This window comes from Homo sapiens, chromosome 6, assembly GCF_000001405.40.
Source record: "Homo sapiens chromosome 6, GRCh38.p14 Primary Assembly".
NCBI lineage: Eukaryota > Metazoa > Chordata > Mammalia > Primates > Hominidae > Homo > Homo sapiens.
In genome coordinates, this window is record NC_000006.12 from 4356882 (window position 1) to 4379425 (window position 22544).

Here is a 22544-nt window from a genome sequence, read left to right on the forward strand (position 1 = left end):
TAGAGATGGCCAATCACCCTCTGACTTTCAACTTAGAGATGAGATCATTAGTTTGTTCCTCTTAAAAACATGTTAAATGGAAAAAGGGATATTTTTTTTTCCCAGAAAGAAAGAGGTCATTTTTCTTTTTTCAAGTTTATGGAGAGCACTGTATTTAAACTGTCTTCTGAGTTTCCTGGCCGCATATCTAGGGAATAAGAGCAGTTTCCCAAGGATAGAAACGAAACAGTACTTCCTTTGTTCTACTTCTACTTGATGGGGGACACCCAGGAACTTCAGATGCTTTCAGTGGAGCTGGCAAGTCCCCATGGGGAGCCTGTTACGTGCCCGGCAGCCCTGTCTTCATCCACTGTTGTGCTCAGTTCCTGTTGGGAATCACTCTGTGGTGTGTCAGGTACTGCCAACACCAAAGTGCTGGGCTCAGCTATGGAGGCACCTGTAAACATCAGCATGCTGGCCACCACCCCCACCTCAGGATGCCCCCAACTCTGGGAGCATTACAGGTCTGTAATCAGCACCATAGAGTGTTAGAAACGGGTCTGGCTAGGGACATAAAAGAGGATTGCCAGACTAGGGACAGTTGTGACCAGAAGCAATAAACCTCCAGTGCCAGCAATTAGTTCATGGTTTTCTTCCACCCCACTTGCTGCATGGGAGCAAATGTGAGAAAGGCAGATGGCAGGGTTGGAGGTCAACTGGGCGAGCACAGCTGGACCAGGGAGGGAGGGAAGTTGCAGTGTTGTGTTGAAAGGGCCAAAGAACCCAGATGCGGAAGGAAGGAAGGAAGGAATGATGGAAGGAAGGAAGAAAGGAAGGGAGGGAGGGAGGAAGGAAAGCCAGGAGTGTTGTGTCAGAATGAAAGCATCTGTGAGGAGTGAGCCTGGAGTTGAAGAACTGGTTTAGTGAGAAGGAGGGCGTGGGAGAGGTGGAGAGGCCCTTGGGGTGAGAGATTTTATTTGTCATGGTTTAGATGCCCCAGATCAGAGAGGTGAATTTCACATATGAAGTATTGAGGTTTTAAGATGAAAAGTCAGCACATCAATACATACTTTGTATCTCCTTAGAATGTAATGTGGCACATATACACCATGGAATACTATGCAGCCATAAAAAATGATGAGTTCATATCCTTTGTAGGGACATGGATGAAATTGGAAATCATCATTCTCAGTAAACTATCGCAAGGACAAAAAACCAAACACCGCATGTTCTCACTCATGGGTGGGAATTGAACCATGAGAACACATGGACACAGGAAGGGGAACATCACACTCTGGGGCCTGTTGTGGGGTGGGGGGAGGGGGGAGGGATAGCATTAGGAGATATACCTAATGCTAAATGACGAGTTAATGGGTGCAGCACACCAACATGGCACATGTATACATAGGTAACTAACCTGCACATTGTGCACATGTACCCTAAAACTTAAAGTATAATAATAATAAAAAAGAATATTTACTTTTTTGAGGTGTGCTCCAAAAACCACCCCCAGCATCTTAGGCTCTGGCTGACTGCTGCTCACCTGTGACCATCTCTAAGTCTGAATCCACATGGCTACACCGTCATGTTATCTGCAGTGCTGTTACTAAAAATGAGATCCTTTTCCTCATGTCCAAATCAGGGCTTCATCTGGATGGGGTCCCAGCTCTGGCACAGGCCAATGGCAGGAGAGTTCAGGGATGGGCACACCTGGCCGGCTGAGGGGAGCCTACAGCCAGGCTGGCCTCCCCAGCCTCTTCAAGTGCAGGGCCTGGCGAAGGCCTGCCCTCTTGGCACCTGTCCTGTTGGTCCTGGGACAGAGCCCACAGCTTGGGATAGTCCTGTGGGAGGGGGAGGTTGAGTCACTTTGCATCACATTCATGTCTCTGCAAATGCTGAGTCACCCTGGATGCAGAGCGAGAGGATGCTGTGGCTGCCTGCCGGGAACGTCTGAACTGGGCAGCCCTTTGCCATTGGCAGGAATGAGTGGGCGTGACGCATTCTCTCCAGTTCTGTGCCTTAGTCACCAAGGTCACTAGATTATGTGTGTCATGCGAGGGAGGCGCATAAAGGGCTGGGAAAGGTGGCAGGCTGCGGTGGGGGAGAGAGAAGGGCAGGAGCAGGCTTGTGTTTCAGATCTCAGCTTTCCTTAGCAAAGGGAGCTTCAGCTTTTCCACGCCCTCTCTGTGTATTCTTTAATTTTCCGGTCTCCCCTTAAGATGACTTTGCAGTTAATCAGGCTTGAATCTTCACGGTCTCTTGTTGCTACAGGATGAAGTTTCAGTTCTTAGCCTGGCATTTAAGGGTCTACAATTTGGTGGCCCAGCCATCATGTCCTGGGAACAGCTCTGGCCCTGGAGAGGAAGCCTCTCGAGGCTGTCACAGTTTGGTTCTTCTTTCCCAGGACAATCCTCCACTGCTCTCCTGGCCAGCTGCCTCCTCCAGCCAGCCGGCCCTCTCCCTCCCTGCTCTTCCCAAGTCCCAGGCTCAAAGTGCGGCTCACATCCCTCCTTTCCCTGAGCCTTCCCAGACAGCCAGCCCCACAGTGGCCTCCTTCCATTCTCAAAGCCTTTGGTGGCACTTCATGGCAGAGCCAGGGTAGAAAACAGGGACGATGAGACTTACAAATCTGAGCTCAAATTCCAGATCCTTCTCTGACTTGCAGTGTGATCTTGTGCAAGACACAAAACCTCCTGGCCCTTAGATTTCTTCTTCTGCTACAAATGATCAGAGGTTCATGAGGGAAATGGAACTTAGTGTCTGAGTGCTGGGCACAAGGTAAGGACTCAATCAGTGCTGGCCCCGCCTCTTTTGCTCTCACCGCCTCTTACTTTTTTATGACTTCTTTAGCATCCATTATATCCATGTATGTTTATATTTAAAGTTATTTTATTATGTGTGTGTATACTGATTCCCTAATTGAATTGATTGTGTGTTTTCATTCATTTTTTGAAAGAATTTTTGTGGAGAGTCTATTATGTTCCACAGCTTGTGCCAGACACTAGGGAGTCAAAGGGGGAAAGATGCTGTTCCCAACAGAAAGTCTGGTCTTATACTTCTTTGTAAAGTCACCATAAATATTCTTTAGTGACAGGTAGAGTGAAAATAAACAAAATATTTTCCACATAGTGATAAGTATAATAGATGCCAAATAAATATTTGTTGAGTTTTAGCTTTGGAGTTTTAGATGAAAAGTGTGAAATGCCTTCATGATATTTTATTTCAGAGCTTAACATATTTCAGTTGTGACCAAATTGAAAAGTCCGAACCTTCAAAACTGAAATGCTAGGAAATGATTGCTCATGATCTAGAAGGATTTGTCAAGGGCTTTCTTTAAAAGCCTTCAGCCTCGCGGGGCTCCGTGTGTGTACACACGCATGTGCGTGTGTTCTGAGGGCTACCAAGAGAAGCAAGGGTTGCAGGGAAGGCTCTAACAACGCCCTTGAAGGGAAAAGTCAATCAGAAACAAATTGACTACAGCTGTGAGATTCTAATGTATGTCAATGAAGAGATAAGATTCAATCTACAAATATTTGAATTACATGCAAAATGTAAGTCACAAATCTCGCACCTAAAGTCAGGGTTACCTTCCAATACTCCAGCCTTGTTGTACAAGTCGGGGCTTACACCATCGCAGGGCAGAACTGCTCCCATAATGAGTATAGGAAATATTCAGCCCACCATTTCTGAATAAATATCAGTGCATAGCACATTTCTAGTCTTTAAAATGTCTAACTGCTTTCTGCATGAGTTCCCATAGTCAAAACAACACCCTTCTTCCCTCCTTCCTCCTCAGGTCTCACATTTGTGACTGCTCCCTCAACAGAGTCCCAGGCTTTCTTTTCTGTGTAGATTCTTGCAGAGCTTTCTTGAAATGGAGCCGCCTCATCAATAGGCCACCCTGCACTGCCAGCTCTGTTAAGTAACCAAGTCTCTGTTGGGCGGAATTTGTGGGTCTGGATTTGTGACTATATTCCAGGTGTCTCCTAGTGGCTCTCAACAATCTTTGGTCCATATTTATGGCCCCTTGTTTCTTACCTGCATCTGCAGGACAGGCCGTCTTCTGAGGAGCTGTCCAAGCTTCCTGAACTTGCCTTGAGGGGCCCTGCAGTCAAGATAATACTCCCTGCAACCCTAGGTTCCATTGTTCCACCAGATGCTCTATGCCACTTGCAGCCATCATCACTAGCAATAACCACGGTGATGGAACTTTACATTTCTGCAGGAGTTTACAGCCTGCAAAGGGCTTTCACATACATCGCCTCAGTGTAGGTGACTGACCATGGTGCTGCCCTGCCCAACAGCCTTCAGTGGTGGCTGGAATTCCAGTCTCCTTCCCGGGGTGTTCATGGCCCCCATCTCCTCGCTGTGCAGGCCAGCTCTCACCTCTTTGCCGCCTCCCCATCCCACCTCCCACTGCAAGCTCCCGGAACTTCAAACTGCCTGTGGCTCTCAACACACACATCTCCCTCCTCTCACCCTCCGTATCTCGGCTTTGCCTGTCCTTCAGCCTATGTGGCTTCCCTATCTGCTCTGCTCTTTCTTCCACCCCCAACCCCCCTGCCATGCTCCTCCCCAGCTGTGCCAGGCCCCCTTCTCAGGGCTCGTAATGTCCTGTGCATATCTCTCTGATGGCCTCTGTGGGTGTGTGGCTTTCTTATTGGGATAGAATATACCAAACATAAAATTTGCCATTGTAACCATTTTTAAGTGTACAGTTCAGTGGCATTAAGCATGTTCACATTGTTGTGCGACCACCACCACCCATCTCCAGACATTTTTCATCTTCCCAAACTGAAGCTCTCTACCCATTTGTATCAGTTTGCTTGGGCTTCCATGGCAAAGTACCAGACTGCGTGGCTTAAACAACGGACATTTATTTTCTTACAGTCTGGAGGCTGGAAGTGCAAGATCCAGGCGTTGGCAGGGTTGGCGTCTGGTGAGACCTCTCCTCCTGGCTGTGGCTGGCCAGCTTCTCCCCGTGTCCTCACATGGCCTTTCTTCTGTGTGCTTATTGAGAGAGGGGGCTCTGGCATCTCTTCCTTTTCTTACAGAGACACCAGTCCCATTGGACTGGGGCTTGGCCTTCATTTAACTCTAATTACCTCCCTAAGGCCCAGTCTTCAAATACAGGCACACTGGGGATTAGGGTTTCAACATATGCATTTCGGGGGGCACAGTTCAGTCTCTAACATCATTGAGGAGTAACTCCCACTCTCTCCCCCAGGCCCTGGCAACCACCATTTCACTTTCTGTTTCTATGAATTTCACTCCTGTAGGTAGCTTGTATAGGTAGAATCACACAGTGTTTGTCCTTTTGTGACTGGCTTATTTCACTCAGCATCATGTCCTCAAGATTCATCTGTGTTGTAGCATGCGTCGGAATTTCCCTCCTGTTTAAGGCTGAGTGATATTCCGCTGTCTGCACACACCACATTTTGTTGATCCACACATTCACCAATGAAACCACTGTGTTAGAGAGGTGTTTGTGTCTGTCTCTACTCTGAGGTCGGACCCTTTGTCTAATACTTCTCTGTATCTCACGCACCAAACACCGTGCCTGGCATGTCATTCTCTTGATAAATGTTGAAGGAACAAATGAGTCAATTATTTAACATGCTGACCATCATGACAGCCCTGAGTTAGGCAAGCTTCCCATTCCTACTTCCATTTCTCAGATGAGGAACTCAGACTTGGAAACGTAAAGGGACTTTCCATTTTATCAATTGCCTTTCTCATCCTGCTGGTAATTATGTGAAGCAGAAATCTTCCTGCTGTCTTTGGCCCCCAGACATCATGCCCTATGTTAGACATCAATCATATAGCTTGATTTCTATAAAGGCAACTGGACTTCCTGGGAAAGAGCTAGTACAGCTCTTACAATGATGCAGAAGTAAAGCCAGGACGTTCTGGGACTGTAGTGAGGAAACCATCAGAGCCCAGAATCCATGATGGTGAAAGATCCTCACAGTGGTCCTCAACCAAGGGCGATTCAGCCCCCCAGGGGACATTTGGCAATGTCTGCAGACGTTTTTGGTTGTCATGACTTGGGGTTAGGTGGTCCTGGCATTGACTGGGTGGAGGTCGGGCATGCAGCTGAACACCATACACTGCACAGGACGGCACCCAGAACAAAGACTGGTGTTGCCCAAACGTCAATGATGCAGAGGTTGAGAAACCTGGTCCGAAAAGAGTCAGGAATTAAGTGGCCCCAGCAAGGGGAGTGGCAAACAGAGGAGAACGTGGGGCCTCCTTAGGGGAACCAGTGTGCAGACTTCTGCAAGACCAAGCTGCACTGACCGATGGAGATACTGAATGACTTGCTAACAGCTTTGGCCTAATGATTTTGTGCATCCTGGAGCCCTGGGGCTTTTTGGAGGCAAATGTTAATGTAATGCTTCAGTTCTGCCTCCAACTTCTATGATACTTACGTGTTGGATTCATAGCTGAAATATAAAAATGACATATATAGACTATGCCAAGCATAGATCTGTGTATGCAAAATAACACCAACTGAAAAAAAGCAGAATGTAAAATGCCATGTGTATGGCATTTTACATGCCACTAGTACATCTGTGTCCGATATAAAAGAATGTACATAGACAAAGATCAGAAGAGTTTGAAATAACACAGTTTATATTCAGTTGTAATCTTTGTTAGTTACATTTTAACTTTTAAGGTGTTTTATATAAACATCCACTTGAAGTTTCAAAAATCAGGAGTCTAGCCCTTCTTTCAGAGCCGTACGTACGGTTTGTTGAGATTTTCTACTCAGCCAAGCAAGGAACTGAGTGCTTTTTGGACATTGTTACATTACACCCTAAATTACCCAATGAGATAGGCACTGCTGTGCCTGTTTTACAGATGAAAAGCCTGAAGCTTTGTGATTAAGTAATTGACCAAGGTCACAAAGCCAGCAAGTGCTGGGGCCGAATGTTCACCAACTGCTCTGTGCCTGCTCCAGAGTGCATGGGACATGCTGTGTGACCAGATTTGGTGATCTCACACCATGGCCAATTTCATCAAAAAGCTACATGGATTTCCCAATCTGAATCACTAAATAACTAATTCCCGGCATTAGTCAGGGCTCTCCAGAGAAACAGAGCCGATAGGATATGTGTGTGCATTTGTGTGTGCACGCGTGTGTATGAGATTTGCTATGGGAATTTGCTCGTGCAATTATGGAGGTCAAGAAGTTCCACATCTACCATCTGCAAGCAGAAAGTCAGGGCTGTAATTCAGTTTGAGTCCAAAAGCCTGAGAACCAGGAGTGCTAATGTCTGAGGGCAGGAGACGATGAATGTCCCAGCTCAAGCAGAGAGAATGAATTCACCCTTCCTCTGTCTTTTTGTTCTATTCAGTCCCTCAGTGGATTGGAAGTAGCCTACCTACACTGGTGAAGATGATCTTCTTTACTCAGTCTACTGATTCAAATGTTAATCTCATCTGAAAACACTCTCACCAGAAGTAATATTTTACCAGCTACCTGCACATCCCTTATCCCAGTCAAGTTGACACATAAAACTAACCACCCCACTTCCTGTTTTGCAAATGGGCAATTATGAGAATGGTATCTCCAGGCTTTTTCTGTGGTCATAAGTTTTTAGATCTCAGCTTTTGCATAGTAAATATGATAATTTGTCTGTAATGCACTAACATTATGACCTAAATTGGGTCTCAATCATTTCAAAAAACCAGAATGAATTCTAAGTGGTATTTATATCAGCGTCCACAAAACAGAAGAAGTAGCTAAATATGTCACCCCAAAACATGATCTAGTTTTAACTACTAAGCATTCAAACGGTCTATTGCTGTGCCATGTAAAAATGGTTTATTTTTAAAATTTTCAGGCAATGATCACATTTTACTCCTTTCCTCTTTTTTTTAATTGGTGACCTAATATTTCAGGTTTTTGAAATGTAAATGACACAGTGCTGTCATTTTATAGGACTCTGATTGCAAAGTTAAGGCTCAAAGGTCATGTATTTTCTGTGATAGGTATATGGCCCTGCAATTTGCCTTCTTTTGAGCCTGGGGAACATTTGGTTTGCCCTGTGGTTATTGCCTCAGGTCAGGGTCCCTGGAAGCAGAGCCTCAGACAGGGATTTTGTGCACAGTGCTTATTGCAGGTGTGCTCTCTCCAGGAAGAACTATAAGCCAGTGAGGGATGCAGGATAGAGAAGGAAAGGAGCTGAGTAGGGATGTTACTCTTACCCCTAGTGGGGGGCTCTGGAGCACAAACCTCACCCCAGTCTTGTCTTCCATTTAGGAAAGGGTGCTACCCTTCCATACCCCCTGCCCATCAGTCAGGCAGCCATGGGTGTGGGCTGATGGCGCCTGTGGGTGGGGACATAGCCTCCCCACTGAGGGGTCACCTATGAGCCAAGGACAATTAGTAACTAAACTCACAGCGCCCACGGGACAGAGTGAAGGGAGAATGCGAAGGGGGCATGAGTGCACAAAGGCAGTGAAGGGGATGAACATAGGGTCAACAAAAAACACATACTAAAGTTCTCATCTTTCTTTCTACAGTCAAGTTTTTCTAAAGAACACTGTATTATAAAAGATTCACGTATAGAGCAAAAAATTAATACCTACAGCAAGTGTAACTAGATACAGTGAGAGGTTAGTAAGAAAGGTAATATGTTTTGTTTTTATCTTATTCCTATTCATAAATATGTATGAGAACATAATTAGGTAGCTTATCTCAATATATAATCCAAATTCATGGTTTCGAGTATCTGGAGGCCTCACTACCATTTTGATAACTGCCAATTTGAACTGCCCTAATAGGTAAACCAGATTGGCCTCATCTGGCCCCTTCCCCCATGGTGTTTGGGATCTTTGTCACTCAACAAGGCTGCAGCTTTTCCTATAAATGCAGTGAAAGAAGGACCTTAGTCTCATCAGGCTTCTCCACCCAGGGTGAAATCCATCTCAGCTGTCTTCATCCATCAGAGGAAGGTTCCTCCACGCCCAATACATCCTCGTCTGTATCTTTTTAGTTGTAACTTAGTGGAGAAAATCATTCCCCTTGGCCTCTTGCCTCTGACCAAACTAGTAAGGCCCTTGGAGGAACCAAAGTTTGCCTTTGACAGTGTCCATAGCAACAAGCAGCCTAACAGCCTCTTCTCTGACACCAAGGGCTTTCGGTTAACTGCTGTTCCAAAAACCTTGCTCTGTATCAGAACATGACTTTTTAAAACACATTTAATTAGAGTTTGACAAGGATTTTATTCAGAGCTATAAAGCAGTTTCACCACAGTGATTTGTAAATATCTCGATGTGGTTTATGATTATTGTCCTTAATTTACCCCATAATCATCATCATCAGCCTAATGATATGATGAACAATGCAGAGGTCTGTGTGAAGATTTACGTGTTTAAGATGTAAAAACATTTAGAGAAAGTAATGCTGCATGAAGAATCTTCATGGATACAGATTTGAAAGGTGAATTGGCGTGTCAAGACCTGAATGATAAATTTGTAGCGGGTTGGTCTGTTTCCCACTTGTGCTGTGATGTGAGTCTTATACAGCATGAAAATGCGGCTGCAATATTTTTTATCTACTCTTGAAATGCAGAGCACTTCTTGTCAGGTAATGAGTCTCCATCATCTGTTCTGCCGCTGTAGGACCATTTGCAAATTCCACCTGGACATCATCCCCTTCTCTCAGATTGTAGCTTAAAATGTACCAATCAAAGATGGCTTATGACTCAGCTATTGGCAACCACTGAGATAAGCCAGGTTTCCCAGCAGAGAGAAACTTCTGCACTCTCAGGCACTCATTTTGTGGAGCAGCTCATTCACTCGGATGCCCTGTAGTTACTGCTGCCAAATTTGCCCATAGGAGAGGCCATGAAATGAAGAGAGGCCAAGGGGTTGATTTCATGTTTAGTAAGTGAGAGTGTTAGCTAATTTGCATCCACTGTGTAAGGGATGGGCCTCCAAATCCTGGAATCCTTTTCGAGTACTTGTGGGTTCATCAGTCAAATTCACAGTGACGGATGGTGAACATAGCTCAGGGAAAACAGGAGGCGTTTTATAAAGATGAGAGCCTGCCAGCCAGCCAAGGAGGCTGGATTCCTATCGGGACTCTATCAGTTTCTCTTCAGAGCCAACATTCACACTTGCTGAATGCCTGCACCTAACCAAACAGGAGGTTAATTCTCCTGTTGGGGTTCGTGAAAGCACAATAGCATGTCCTGTCTAGCAGCCGCCAAGGCAAGGAGAGCCTTTCTCTGGTGGGGAATTGTCTGCAGGGACAATGGGTAGCAGCAAGGAGAGATCTTTCCCTCCAAAGCTTGAAAAATGAGCACACAGATGAAATCCAGCATCCTAGGCTGGAAAATCTCCATAGCAACACATTCTGGCTCTAACCCTCTTGGTCCCAAACTTCCAAATCAGACCTTTTCACAGAACCGTGAGGTAGGGGAATGTACATATTACAAAGAGACAGTCTTTCCCTTTTTCTTTCTCCTCAAATCCCACTACGTGCCCACCCCATCCAAACACACAAGCGTGCACCCCGACAACCACACTCACACGTCTACCCACGGAATTTTAGGGAGGAAAAACACCTTCCGTGCCTCTATTTCCCAGGGTAGATAGCTTTATCCCAAGAGTCTTCATCTGATGAGGAAAGACAGTCAACAGTAGTCATAATTTTAAACACAGTAGCCATTTTACAGTAAAACAGCAAAGTAATTTCCCAAAATAATGGCCCTGGGTATCTTGGAAGAGGAGACTCTATCTCTGTGTTTCCCCCATCCCTAGTTTCATGAGCAATTAACCCTGTATTTCCATGCTCAGGCAAGTCAAATAACCCTTGCAGAGCTGGTTGAAGGTGCTGGGAGGAGAGGTGGTCTTGAACTGCATGGTAAGAATGGTCCTGAAGTGCCCAGGGGGGTGAGAGAGTCCAGTCCACCAAAGTAACTAATCTGGGCCAAAGCAGGCAGAACAGTGCAGCTAGCCTTTCCAGAAGTCAACAGCAGATAAAGGGAGAGACGTCTAGACCACTGGGTCTCAGGCTCAGCATGCATCAGAATCATCTGGAAGGTAAGTTAAAACACCAGCTGCTGGGTGCTAGCCCCAGAGTTTGTGAATCTGTGGGTTTGTGATGAGGCTGGAGGGTCTATGTTTCTAGAAAGCTCTCAGGTGAAGCTCATGTGCTGGCCCACAGACCCCTCTCATTAGTCTCTATGCCTCGCAGTGACCCTCTTGGTCCTCAGGGGCTGCTGAAGTGAGAGGGGTGGGAGAATGATGAATGAGCATGCTAATGCAAATCACTGTTCACTACTCATGTAATCCTTCAGGCAGTCCTGTAAAATAGGTCTGATTTTTTCCATCTTTCTGATGAGCAAAGTGGCTTAGAGAGGTTATTTCTCAAGTTCACACACTTAAGTGTCTGTCAGAGTGGATTTAATTGAGCTAGGGGTCCCACGATCAGGTTTTCTATAGCTTCCAGGTGATGGTAATATGCAGTGTGGGCTGGGAGCCACTGATCTGAGACTTCCACACTCTGAACCAGCTGCCAGAACAAGACACTGTTGACCCCATAATGTGAGGACACTTCCCCAGGATTTGCAGTGGAATGTGAGGGTTTCCAAAGTCATCTTTTTGAAGAGATTTTTTTTTTCCACATTCTGGTATTAAAAGAGTTGTGAGGATAGGAAGACTAGCAGGCAAAGACATTGAGAAAAAGTTGTTTTAAAAACAGAATTTGAATGTCATTCCAGGCTACTGACTTCTTTTGGCCCTCTGGAAGCATTAGACCTAGTTTCTAGAACAATCACACTTAGGGGCATGAGTGGCCATCCTACCCTACACCCAGGTATAAACTGACCAGTGGCTATGACTCCTCTCTTTCCCCACTGTACCAGCCATGGTTCCTGCAGGGAATAAATGGCCCACTCTAAGTAAGACAATGGAGGATTGTCCAATAAAGGTGCTACCTGCAAAGCTGGGGGTGAGTTGGTAAACCACAAGAAATACTGCAGTGCCCAGAAGGAGAGAAAGCAATAGAGGTGACTATTTTGAGAGGAACAATGGCCTTTGGTTAAGGTTGGCATGAAGCTACCCCACAAGGAAGAAGCCAGCAGAATGAATATCCCACCACCATGGTATGCTGGACAGTGTTTAATCATTGGCCCTCTGGAGAAAAAAATATTTGTAGCATTTACCCATTTTCTGTGTATTAAATACCATCCCCATGGCTTATTTCAAGCTACCTATGTGAGGTCACCAGATGCAGAATTGACAATAGATGTGCACAGTCAACTCTCGTGAGCCACTATGAGCAGGCTCTAGCCCAGCACTGCCCCAACTTCATTCATCCCCCTTCACTCCAATCTCCTGCCAGACATCCCCACTGACCACACCCAGCTGGAAGCCAGCGGCAAAGGGAGTCCACTGACAGAGTCCATGGACAGCCTCTCAGTCTGCCAGGACGGGAGACCATTAACAAGAAGAGGAGGAGGAGAAGAGCTTTGAAAAAGTGCCCTGGGAGAAGTCATTCAGCCTTTTCCTCCAGGCTCCCTGGCTCTCATGGACCCCCATGTGCCCACCTCAGCCTTTTCTGGGTTGTGGCATGAAATGCCCGTGTGCTGCCTACATGACCCAAGTGATACTGCCAGGGAGATAAATTTGGCCTAGGCTGAAATTTGAAAAGCAAGAGGACATCCGCCTGAAGACTTGCACCCCCTGGGCTTTTTTCTTTATTTCATCACATGAAGAGGGGAATAAGTAGAGACGATCTGGTTGTGGAGAGTCCAGAGGCAGGAAATCCACATTTATTGAACCTCATGTGAGTTAGAAACCTTAACATAGGCCTGGCTCATTTGCTAAGTATTCACTGGGTTCCTGCTGTGTGCAGGACACTGTGCAAGAGCTGAAACCTGTAAGAGGAAGCAGTGAGTTTGCCAGGACTCCTCCTCTACACTCTTTCCCACTGGTCCTTTGCCAGTCAGTTCTGCCAGGAAATAGAAACTGCTCTAGGTCTTTCTAACGGAAGGAATCTGATTGAAGGGATTGGTGACAGAGGGATGGGTGAGCTGGGAAGCACAGAGGGACGGGTTAGCAGCAGAGGAAGTTGCTACCACCCCTAGACTGGGAAAACAATAGGGGGAGGTGGAATTGCCCGGGTCTGGAAGTTCGCTGGAGGCTGCTGCACAAAAATGATGTGGCTGCTGCAGAAATGCCATGAGAACCAGAAGGAAAAAGGGAATATTCTGGGTGTCCCTTCTCCCACCCTCTAATCGCTTGCTTGTTGTTCTAATTGGCTTCACTTATGCAGATGCTGGGAAATGCAGTTCTGTCTGTAACAGAGCAGGCAGAGGGGAGATGGATGGAGCCCAAGCAGGCTCTCGACCTTGTGGTGCATTTGTGCACTGGAGGTCTCAAGCTAGCAGATCATTTTCTTTGGTTTGGGAGTCCAGGGAAGCAAATTAGTCATAGAGGGATTGAGTAGTCAGAGCTAGCCCCACCAGCTTAAATTCTAGGTACTTGAGTCATCAGTCTTTTACAGCGGTGTGTTTGTTAGTCAGGATTCTCCAGAGAAAACCAATAGGTGATAGATAAATGATAGGTGATAGAAGAGGGAATTTATTTATTTATTTATTTATTTATTTATATTTTGAGATGGAGTCTTGCTTTATCACCCATGCTGGAGTGCAGTGGCGTGACCTCGGCTCGCTGCAACCTCCACCTCACAGGTTCAAGCGATTCTCCTGCCTCAGCCTCCCGAGTAGCTGAAACTACAAGTGTGTGCCACCACACCCGGCTTTTTTGTGTGTGTTTTTAGTAGAGGTGGGGTTTCACCATGTTGGCCAGGCTGCTCTCGAACTCCTGACCTCAGGTGGTCTGTCCCCCTTGGCCTCCCAAAGTGCTGGCATTACAGGCGTGAGCCACCGTGCCTGGCCAGAAGAGGGAATTTATTATGGGAATTGGCTCACATGATTATGGAGGCCCAGAAGTCCCACGATCTGCCAACTGCAAGCCAGAGAATCAAGGAAACTAATTCAGTCTGAGTCCCAAGACCTGAGAACAAGGAGAGCTGATGATGTAACTCCTAGTCTGAGGCTGAAGGCCTAAGAACCAGGAGCACCAGTGTCTGAAGGCAGGAAAAGGTGGGTGTCCCAGCTCAAGCAGAGGGAGTGAAATTATCCTTCTCTTACCTTTTTGTTTTATCTTGGTCCTCAATGGATTGGGTGATGCCTGCCCACAGAGGGAAGGGTTACCTCCTTTACTCAATCCACTGACCCCAAGGCCAATCTCTTCTGAAAACACCCTCACAGGCACACCCAGGAATAATGCTTTCCCAGCAATCTGAGTATCCCTTAGCCCAGCCAAGTTGACACCTACAGTTAACCATCAGCCTGTGTCACTCCTCCACCCTCTTCCTTATAGATCCCGCCTCATCCCCTTCCCTTCCTGCATGTCCCGTCCACCTCCTCTCCCCAGGCAGGATGGAGACACCAAGAGACCTCCAGATCCCCATCGGGTAAACCCACCGAGTTGGACTCTGATAGTTGACTGTCACATAAGCAGACTGCCTGATGTACCATGCCCTGTTCTCTAAGCTCTCTGACATATTTAGTGGGTGTTGATGTCTCTGCTTTGATGGAGAGGAAACTGACCCCACTGTGAGTTGTTGGCTTGTCCAAGGTCACCCAGCACATTAGCAGGAGTTCCAGAATTGGAGCCCAAAGCTCCTGAGTCATGGCCAAGTGACGAGCTCCATTGCACTACGTGGCTCTTTGTGGCTATAAAAAGATCCATCTCTGGAGAGCACCTCCTCCAAGGCTTGCTGAGATAAGCTAGATGCTGGCCCTGTGTGTGTGCCTTAACCGGGCAGTGAGCCACCAGTCCCCTGATAGGAAGAGTGACTCTCGTGGGGAGAGGAAGAAAGAGAATGCTTCAAGAAGTCGGAGGAGGCAGCCTTTTACCTTAAATGGCCCATGCTCAGATCAAGACACGGCACAATTATTGTGTCTATATTGTAGCCTGATCTGCCACAAGTTGAGAAAAATCTCTTTTTCCATAGCATAACTATTTATGGCATTTGCCAATTTTCTCCGTGTAAACACTTTTCCTGTGGCCTATTTCAAGGTACAAACAGGAGGTCACTGGACACAGAATCTGGGGGAGATGTGCGCAATAACAGCTCAGGAGCTGGTCTGAGCAGTCTCCAGCCCACCACGTCCCTAACCTTACTCACCCCACCCCTGCCAATGTCCTCATCTTTAGGCAAGGATTATCATACTAATCAAGAGTTCTCCATCTAGAGTTTATCGTGTGTGATACCTAGCTCAGCGAAGTAAGATTCTGATGCCCTCGTGTATGAAATGGGCTTGGATATTATCTTTGTTATGTAATGTCACGCCTAGAAATAAACAGGACCTGTCCTTACAGGCACTAAGTGTACCATCACAACATCTGCTGCCCAGTTTTGAGATTAAGGGCATGACCCTGCCTGGGTTCAAATCTTCTCTTTGACACTTAACTAGCTGTGTAATCTCAGGCATTTACCTACCTTCTCTGTGACTTAATTTTCCCATCTAACTAATGGGAATACTGGTAATATGAATCTCATAGGTAGTTATGAAGATTAAATTATTTAGAAGATGTCAAGCACTTAAAATAGTGCCTACTAGCAATTGAGGGCATAAGTGACCCCTAATAAATGTTAAATCACATTATTACTACATGCTGGCAGGTCAAAGGTGCATCTGTTAACAGATGGGGAAGGTGTGGCAGTGGTAAGCTTGCACTTGGGCCATGCACAGGTGTAGAGAGAATCAGCAAAGAACATGTAGAAAGGTACTCTCATCTCAGAAAAAGGGTGTTGACAGCACTTAGTTCAAGCTTGCCCTTTTCCCAAAGGGCAAATCCCTTCCACCGCATCTGTGCCTGCTTGAACAAGTGCAGTATGGGGATCTCATTACTTCTCAAGGCTGTTTGGTCCACTTTCAGACCTCTCTGATGTGTGCATCTCCTCACCGTCCCCCAATTCCAAATCAGAATTAGCCTTCCAGCAGTGTAGAGCTCATTGGTCCTAGTTAGTCTTTCTGGAACCTCACAGAAAAGTTTGATTCCTCCTCCGCCTGAGGAGACATCACAGAACTATCATAGCTCTGAAAGCTGACCCCTTGGGAAACTTGGTGCTCTGAGGATCTCAACACTCAAAGCCACAACACAGGCCCTCAGGCCCCATGGGACAGGGCCAACCAGGTTCTGTCCTGTGTGGTTGACTCAGCTTCTATGCTGCCCCTTGGCTTCGGGAGGGGAGGCACCTTCCCTAGCAATCCCACTGGGACTGCACACAGTGAGGGTAAAGTAGGAACCCACAAAATAAAAAATAAGCCAACTCTAACCCAAAAGTAAGGTGGTAGGAGGATGATGTTTTCTATGATAACTCCTCAAGTATTTGAAGACAGACCCCGATCCATGTAAGGTATTTCTTTCTAATGAGCAAACAAATGAAGAAACTCGTGTATTCACAACACTGCTTGCATTTAACATGCAATGTTAGATTTTGTAAAGCAAAATCTTCTCCTGCAGATGAACTGTAAGTGGTTGTGTATCTAGAAATTCACGCCCAATTGTTTTTCCTTCTGAAGGCACGCAGGGAAGGGGAGCAACATGGGGCTGTAGGGTGAGAGTCCCGCGTGGAGATTAAACGACAAGAAGTTCCTCCAGAAAGCCTGAGAAGGCAAGGCCAAGGGACACTGTTGATGGAAAGGTGGCCCCTGCATCTGGATGGGCCCTGCTCATGCTGCTGGGAAACCAGGAGCAGCTGTCAGTCACCCCTCCAGAGGCACTCCAGCCAGCATGAGAAATGCAACACTTACCCAGCATTTCTTCCTCGCCCTCCAGGGAAATGGACCTTGACAAGGGCTCTGATCAGCCCCGTCACTACACTTTCAGAGGTTTTCCTTCAATGAACTCCTTTTATTAAGTAAAAAAGCAAGTCCAAAATGTGGCACTAACAAGAGGAATAATTCAGAGAACTGAAGCAATGTTCACTCAAATACCTCACGCAAAAACAAAAAAAGAGTACCTTCCACATGACAAGTCTCAGGGAACTGAAGCAAGAAGAATTTTATTTTTGCCTGCAGTATCCATTCAGTCCAATTCTGTGAATACTTACTGCACACCCAGTAAACCCCCAGTGCCACATTTGGGGCCCTGGGATCACCAAAGTGGGAGGCAGTTCCCCTCCACGCAGTCAGTAGCCCCATGGATGGATTTGGGTGCACTCCTCAACCCCTGCTCTCTCTAAGATAGAAACCCAGTTCCCTGCCCTGAATTTTCCATCGGCCACCTGCTCATCCCACCTCGGCTGTATGTTAACCTGTCACTTAGATGAAGTGTCATCAAATAATGTCTGCCACCTACTTAATTTAGCATCCTCCCAACTTCCCTGCAGATTTTCTTTGGGCTTTGTTCGGGGAATGCACTGCAGATGGCTCATGGTGAGGGATTCTGTTTCACAGCAGCTGTTGTGCTCTGGGATGCTGAACCGAGCCCCATTCTATGAGCTCTGACCAGGCTCCTGTACTCGTTAGACCACCTGAGGAGCTGCCCTAGCAAGAGCCTGCCAGTGTCACTGTGTGTTTGTCCTCGGGCTGCCTGGCTGCCGTGAACATGGCCAGCCGGGCCCTGTGGCCTCAGGTGCTCACACAATTACAGGGACAAGCAGAGGGCTCCACTGATGCCTCCGAAGCCTTCTAACTCACCAGGTTCTTCCCTGCATTCTGCCGGGTTCCGTCCTTGCTCTTCTCGTCTCATTCTTCATCCTCATTCTTGGCGACCTCATTCACCTCCTTATCTTTAAGTACTACACAGCCTGGCCATTCCTAAGTCTATATCTGCAACCCCCTCTCCTGGCTCTACCTGTGGGTGTCCTCTCTGACCACTTGCATCAAGCAGTTTCACAAACCTTATCATCATTATAGCAGTGCCAGCCATATCCCGAAAGACACAATCCCTAATATTAAAATCTTGAAAGATCAAAATCCCCACAGAGCAAAATCTCTAAAGTCTAAATAAAATTCCAAAAATCACAATCCCGAAGGATTACAATTCTGAATGTTGAAATCCTGAAAGCCGAATTCTGGAGACGTGGTTAGTTGAGTTTTCTGTTTTGTGCAGGATAGTTGCAAAACTATTACCTTGTTGATGTCCTTATTTGGAAATTAGGTGTAGTTTCGGGAGATACGTATGGGTGCCAAGTTGACAAGGGTGGACTTGTGGACCTAATATTAGGTGTTGACTGGATTAAGGAATAAACCTGGTAAAGCCTTAATTGGGGATTATGGCTCAACCCCCCCCCCCAACAGACGCTCTTCTTTTCTGAAACATCTAAACCTTTCTCACCTGAGGCAGGATGCCAGCATCCCCCCTTTCCCCTCTGAGGCTCCCCAACAACCACAGGGTCCTCATGTCCTGCTGGGTCTCCTTAGAATCCCTGCTCTTCTTTGTCCCAGCCACCCACTGCCATAGGTCCTTCCCTTTTCCATTGAGAAGGCTGTAATATAACTTTCTGTAAGGATCTCTCTGTGTTGAGTCCCAGCACCCTTGCCCCAATCCATTCTCCAATGTACTGCCAGACCACAGACTTTTGGAACACAGATTTAATAGTGATATCCCCTGCTCAGAGCCCCACGATGGCCCATCTCCTGCAGCAGTGATGATATTCATAACCAGCAATCAGTCCACTCTTGCTGGGTGGCCAGCCCCTACAAAACAATTTGCCTGTTGTGCTTGTATCCAACTCTCACAATAACCTAAGAAGAAAGTACTGTCTTTATCCTCCCCCCTACCTTTTTTTCTTTTTTTTTTTTTGAAATGGAGTCTTGCTCTGTCGCCCAGGCTGGAGGGCAGTGGCACAATCTCAGCTCATTGCAACCTCCACCTTTCGGGTGCAAGCGATTCTCCTGCCTCAGCCTCCCAAATAGCTGGGATTACAGGCATGTGCCACCACACCCAACTAATTTTTTTGCATTTTTAGTACAGATGGGGTTTCACCATGTTGGCCAGGCTGGTCTCGAACTCCTGACCTCAGGTGATCCATCCGCCTTGGCCTCCCAAAATGCTGGGATTACAGGCATGAGCCACCGCACCCAGCCATTATCCCCATTTTTGAGATGAACAAACTGAGGCACAGAGAGGTCACTAGGCTAGGAAGTGATGCAGGCAGAGCTCACTCTCCTGTCCATATTCTTCATCCCTGGGCTACATGGCCCCTCAAGCTGTTATTCCTATAGCAGAAGGGCACTTTTGATTTTCACACCAAACCTCATGTGGAATCCTGGAACGGTATACAAAACCGATGGAAGTGAGGGGGAAGGGGACACAGGACCCAAAGCCATGCCCATTCATGTCTCCTTTCCTTTTGTGGGCTCTGAGGCCCCTTCTTGGGACTCCAGGGCTCCACAGGGCTGAAGTCTGGCCTCACTGACCCCACAATTCAGAAGTCGATCCCAGGCCTGAGTTCCAGGGGCTGTGGTCCACAAAGGGTCAAGGAGCTATGGAGGGGGGAAAGGCACCCGGAGCCAGGGTGTAAGAGCCAAAAGTGGTGCCAGGGAGCCACTGAGGTCATGCTTGTGTGGGTGAGGAAGGAGGATTCCAGTAAGGAAGGTGGAAGTCAGAGTAACTCAGGTGTGAGAGAGGTGGGGTCCTGGATGGGCCAGGAGCTCACGGTGCTGTGAGGGTGTGCTTGCTGCAGCCCAGGCAGGCAGATCCTCAGGCTGAGCTGCCTCCTACTCATGAATCCTCCCACATTCCACTCCCCAGAGCCTGCACACGCCATGCCTCCAGTCTGGAGGCCCTTCCTGTTCCACCTGGCCCTGGCTGATGCCCACTCATGTCTCAAGACACTGCTTCTGTGCCACCTCTTTAGCCAGGCCTGTCTCTGACTTTGCAAAGCTGAGTCCATCTTATAATCCTCTGTGCATCCCACAGCACCACAAGTGCAACCCTTATGGTGGCATCTGGCCACCATCTTTTGTTTATGGACTGACTTCCATCCCGAGCCCCCTGCCCGTCTCGTCAGATTCATGGTGGATAGGGGACGGGCGTCACTCTCTCTGAAAGCTCTTGAGGCAGAGAACCTCTGAACATGAGTGTGGTCAATTCAGTGGCTGGGAATGTGTTGCCTCCAGCTCTACCTGCTGGGCAAAGCCTGACCCAGACGGATGTTTGATGATGGAACAAGGAATCAGGGGAGCGTCAGGGAGCCCTTTGGAGGTTGCCTGGATGATATCCACATCATTCACCTTCACTCTGGGGCTGCCCTTGGATCAGCTCAGTTTTCTTCCTTCCTCTACCCAGTCAAGCTGACTGCCAGTCTGGCTCCCTGAGGTCAGCAGAACCCCCTGACTTTTTCAGAGTCCAGCCTGCCTTAGACATGATCTTATTCACCTCCCACCAGCCATGGGTGCAGAGTATCCTCAATGGTGCCTTGAGATTCCATCTGCTCAGGCACTGCTCCTGGTCACTGCCTCCCAAGGAGCTCTTCTCACTGTGATCACTGATGACTGCCTTGGGAAGCAACGCACTGGCGGGCGAAAAGTGGGGTCTTTGGAACCAACCCAGGTGTGAATCTTATGGAGCTTTCTCTCTCTGTATCCCAAATTCCTCATCTGTAAAAATCCAGGTGCTAAGGTTCACTTTCAGAAAGCAGGTTCTGAGGTTTCATGTACTTCACACATTGCACTTAGAACAGTGTCTGGCACACACAATGAAGGCTTCTTTAAAGATTAATTGAAGAGTGAATGACTGTCTGAGAGAAGGCAGTGCATGTGAGGTGCCTGGCACCTCCACACAGCAGATTTCATGTAAGTGTAGGGATAATGGGCTTGGAATTGTAACCAACATTGTTCCCCAGAGTCTCCACCCCTTTGACCTTCCTGGCATCCATCAGCCACACGTCCTGGGCTTGTTGCCCCCGGGGAGGAATGAGATGGAGCATAAAGTGAAAAATAGCATGTGGGTCTTTTTTTGGCTTTAGTTTCCAAAAGCCCTTGTGGAAAATACCTTGCCCTGGGCAAGGACAAAAAAAGATAAGAAATGGGGGCTGGGCACTGTGGTTCACGCCTGTAATCCCAGCACTTTGGGAGGCCAAGGTGGGTGGCCCTTGGTGAGGTCAGGAGTTCAAGACCAGCCTGACCAATATGGTGAAACCCCATTTCTATTAAAAATATAAAATTAGCCGGGTGTGGTGGCATATGCCTGTGATCCCAGCTACTTGGGAGGCTGAGGCAGGAGAATCGCTTCAACCTGGGAGGTAGAGGTTGCAGTGAGCTGAAATCGTGCCATTGCACTCTAGCCTAGGCAACAAGAGCGAAATGCCCAATCAAAAAAAAAAAAAGAAATGGAATCTGTGGGGAGTAGAGTTTCTCCCAGAGCCAGGGAAGATGGAGGGGACAGGGATGAGCGCAGAGCTAGGGGAGTCCACCTGGAGAGAGTGGGCTGGTTCTCCCTGGGGGAGGTGCTCCTTCCACACAGGGCCCTGAAGGGCCTGGGGGAGCTGAGCTCAGTGGGGGCTGACTGCTGGGAGTTTCCAGTGAGTACACGTCGCCATCAGCCAGGATCTAATCGGGGATCTGCAAAGGGCTCTGGCCGCACTGGGGGCGGAGTCTTTGCCTGACTTTCACCTAATCGCAGTGTCCACTGCCTGCCACCCCGAGGGGCCAGGCCAGCTGTCCTTCCTGCTAGTGTCTATCCCCAAGGATGTCCTGTGAGGGCAGCCAGACCTGCCTGCAAGCATCCAGAAACAGAGGGCTTTGCTGTGCCCCGGGACCAAGCTTCTCCTCTTCCTACTCACCCCATGGCGACAGCCCTTTCCAAGTCTCAGGAATCCCAGGAGCCCAAGAGGAGGAGGTACGGCAGTGTGGTGCCGTAATGGTTCCACCCCTCATAAAGGCACCAGTCAGTCCAGTGAAGAGCCCTCTTGAGGCAAGACCATCATGAAACACCAGCCTGTTGCTATCACATTTGTTTTTCTCTTCAGAAGACATTTTTTACCCCAAATCTGATCCAATATCAATGGCCACCCACTGGTCACCGTTCCAACTTAAATAGCCCCCCCAAAAGCCCCCAATTTGTGGGTGATCACCATGTGCCCCAAGACTCCTTGCCTTTGTGTTGACAGCCCCATTCCCATAACTGAAGTGGAATCCAGAGCTTCTGCCATCTTTGTCCACATCCCCAGTACCTGTTCCTGTTCGTTACTGTCCCTTAAAATGAAGCACCCAAACTGGCCATGAGGCCTCTGTCTCCTATGGGACTACCTCTCCAACGGGGTGCCTTTAGCCTTTTAAGAGGAACCACTGCTGGGTCCATTGTTTGTCCTCACTGCCCCCTAAGTACTGTGCCCCCAACAAGAGGACGTTACCATGTCACCATATAACTAAAACTGGACTTCAGACATTTTCTTTGATTGTCAGCAAAGCCAAAATAATGAGCTCCCTTGGCTGAGAGAGTGAGCAATTCTTTATCTGAGACAAGAAACCATTCCCATGAAAACTAGATGGAATTATTAATACAGGTTTTCATAAACA

General features: G+C 47.6%; 4 annotated features.

The window, feature by feature from the left end:
- Positions 1418-2169: an enhancer, noted in NCBI's record as "H3K27ac-H3K4me1 hESC enhancer chr6:4358533-4359284 (GRCh37/hg19 assembly coordinates)". NCBI's record gives its function as "activates a minimal SCP1, AML or CMV promoter by ChIP-STARR-seq in primed H9 embryonic stem cells {active_cell/tissue: H9 hESC(primed)}" and the evidence as "EXISTENCE:reporter gene assay evidence [ECO:0000049][PMID:30033119]".
- Positions 1418-2815: a biological region, named in NCBI's record as "VISTA enhancer hs2060".
- Positions 1447-2646: an enhancer, noted in NCBI's record as "BRD4-independent group 4 enhancer chr6:4358562-4359761 (GRCh37/hg19 assembly coordinates)". NCBI's record gives its function as "activates an origin of replication core promoter dependent on BRD2, P300/CBP, MED14 and CDK7 cofactors, and independent of BRD4, by STARR-seq in HCT116 cells {active_cell/tissue: HCT116}" and the evidence as "EXISTENCE:reporter gene assay evidence [ECO:0000049][PMID:35650434]".
- Positions 1467-2815: an enhancer, noted in NCBI's record as "VISTA enhancer hs2060". NCBI's record gives its function as "enhancer in: somite[3/9]" and the evidence as "EXISTENCE:transgenic organism evidence [ECO:0001131][PMID:17130149]".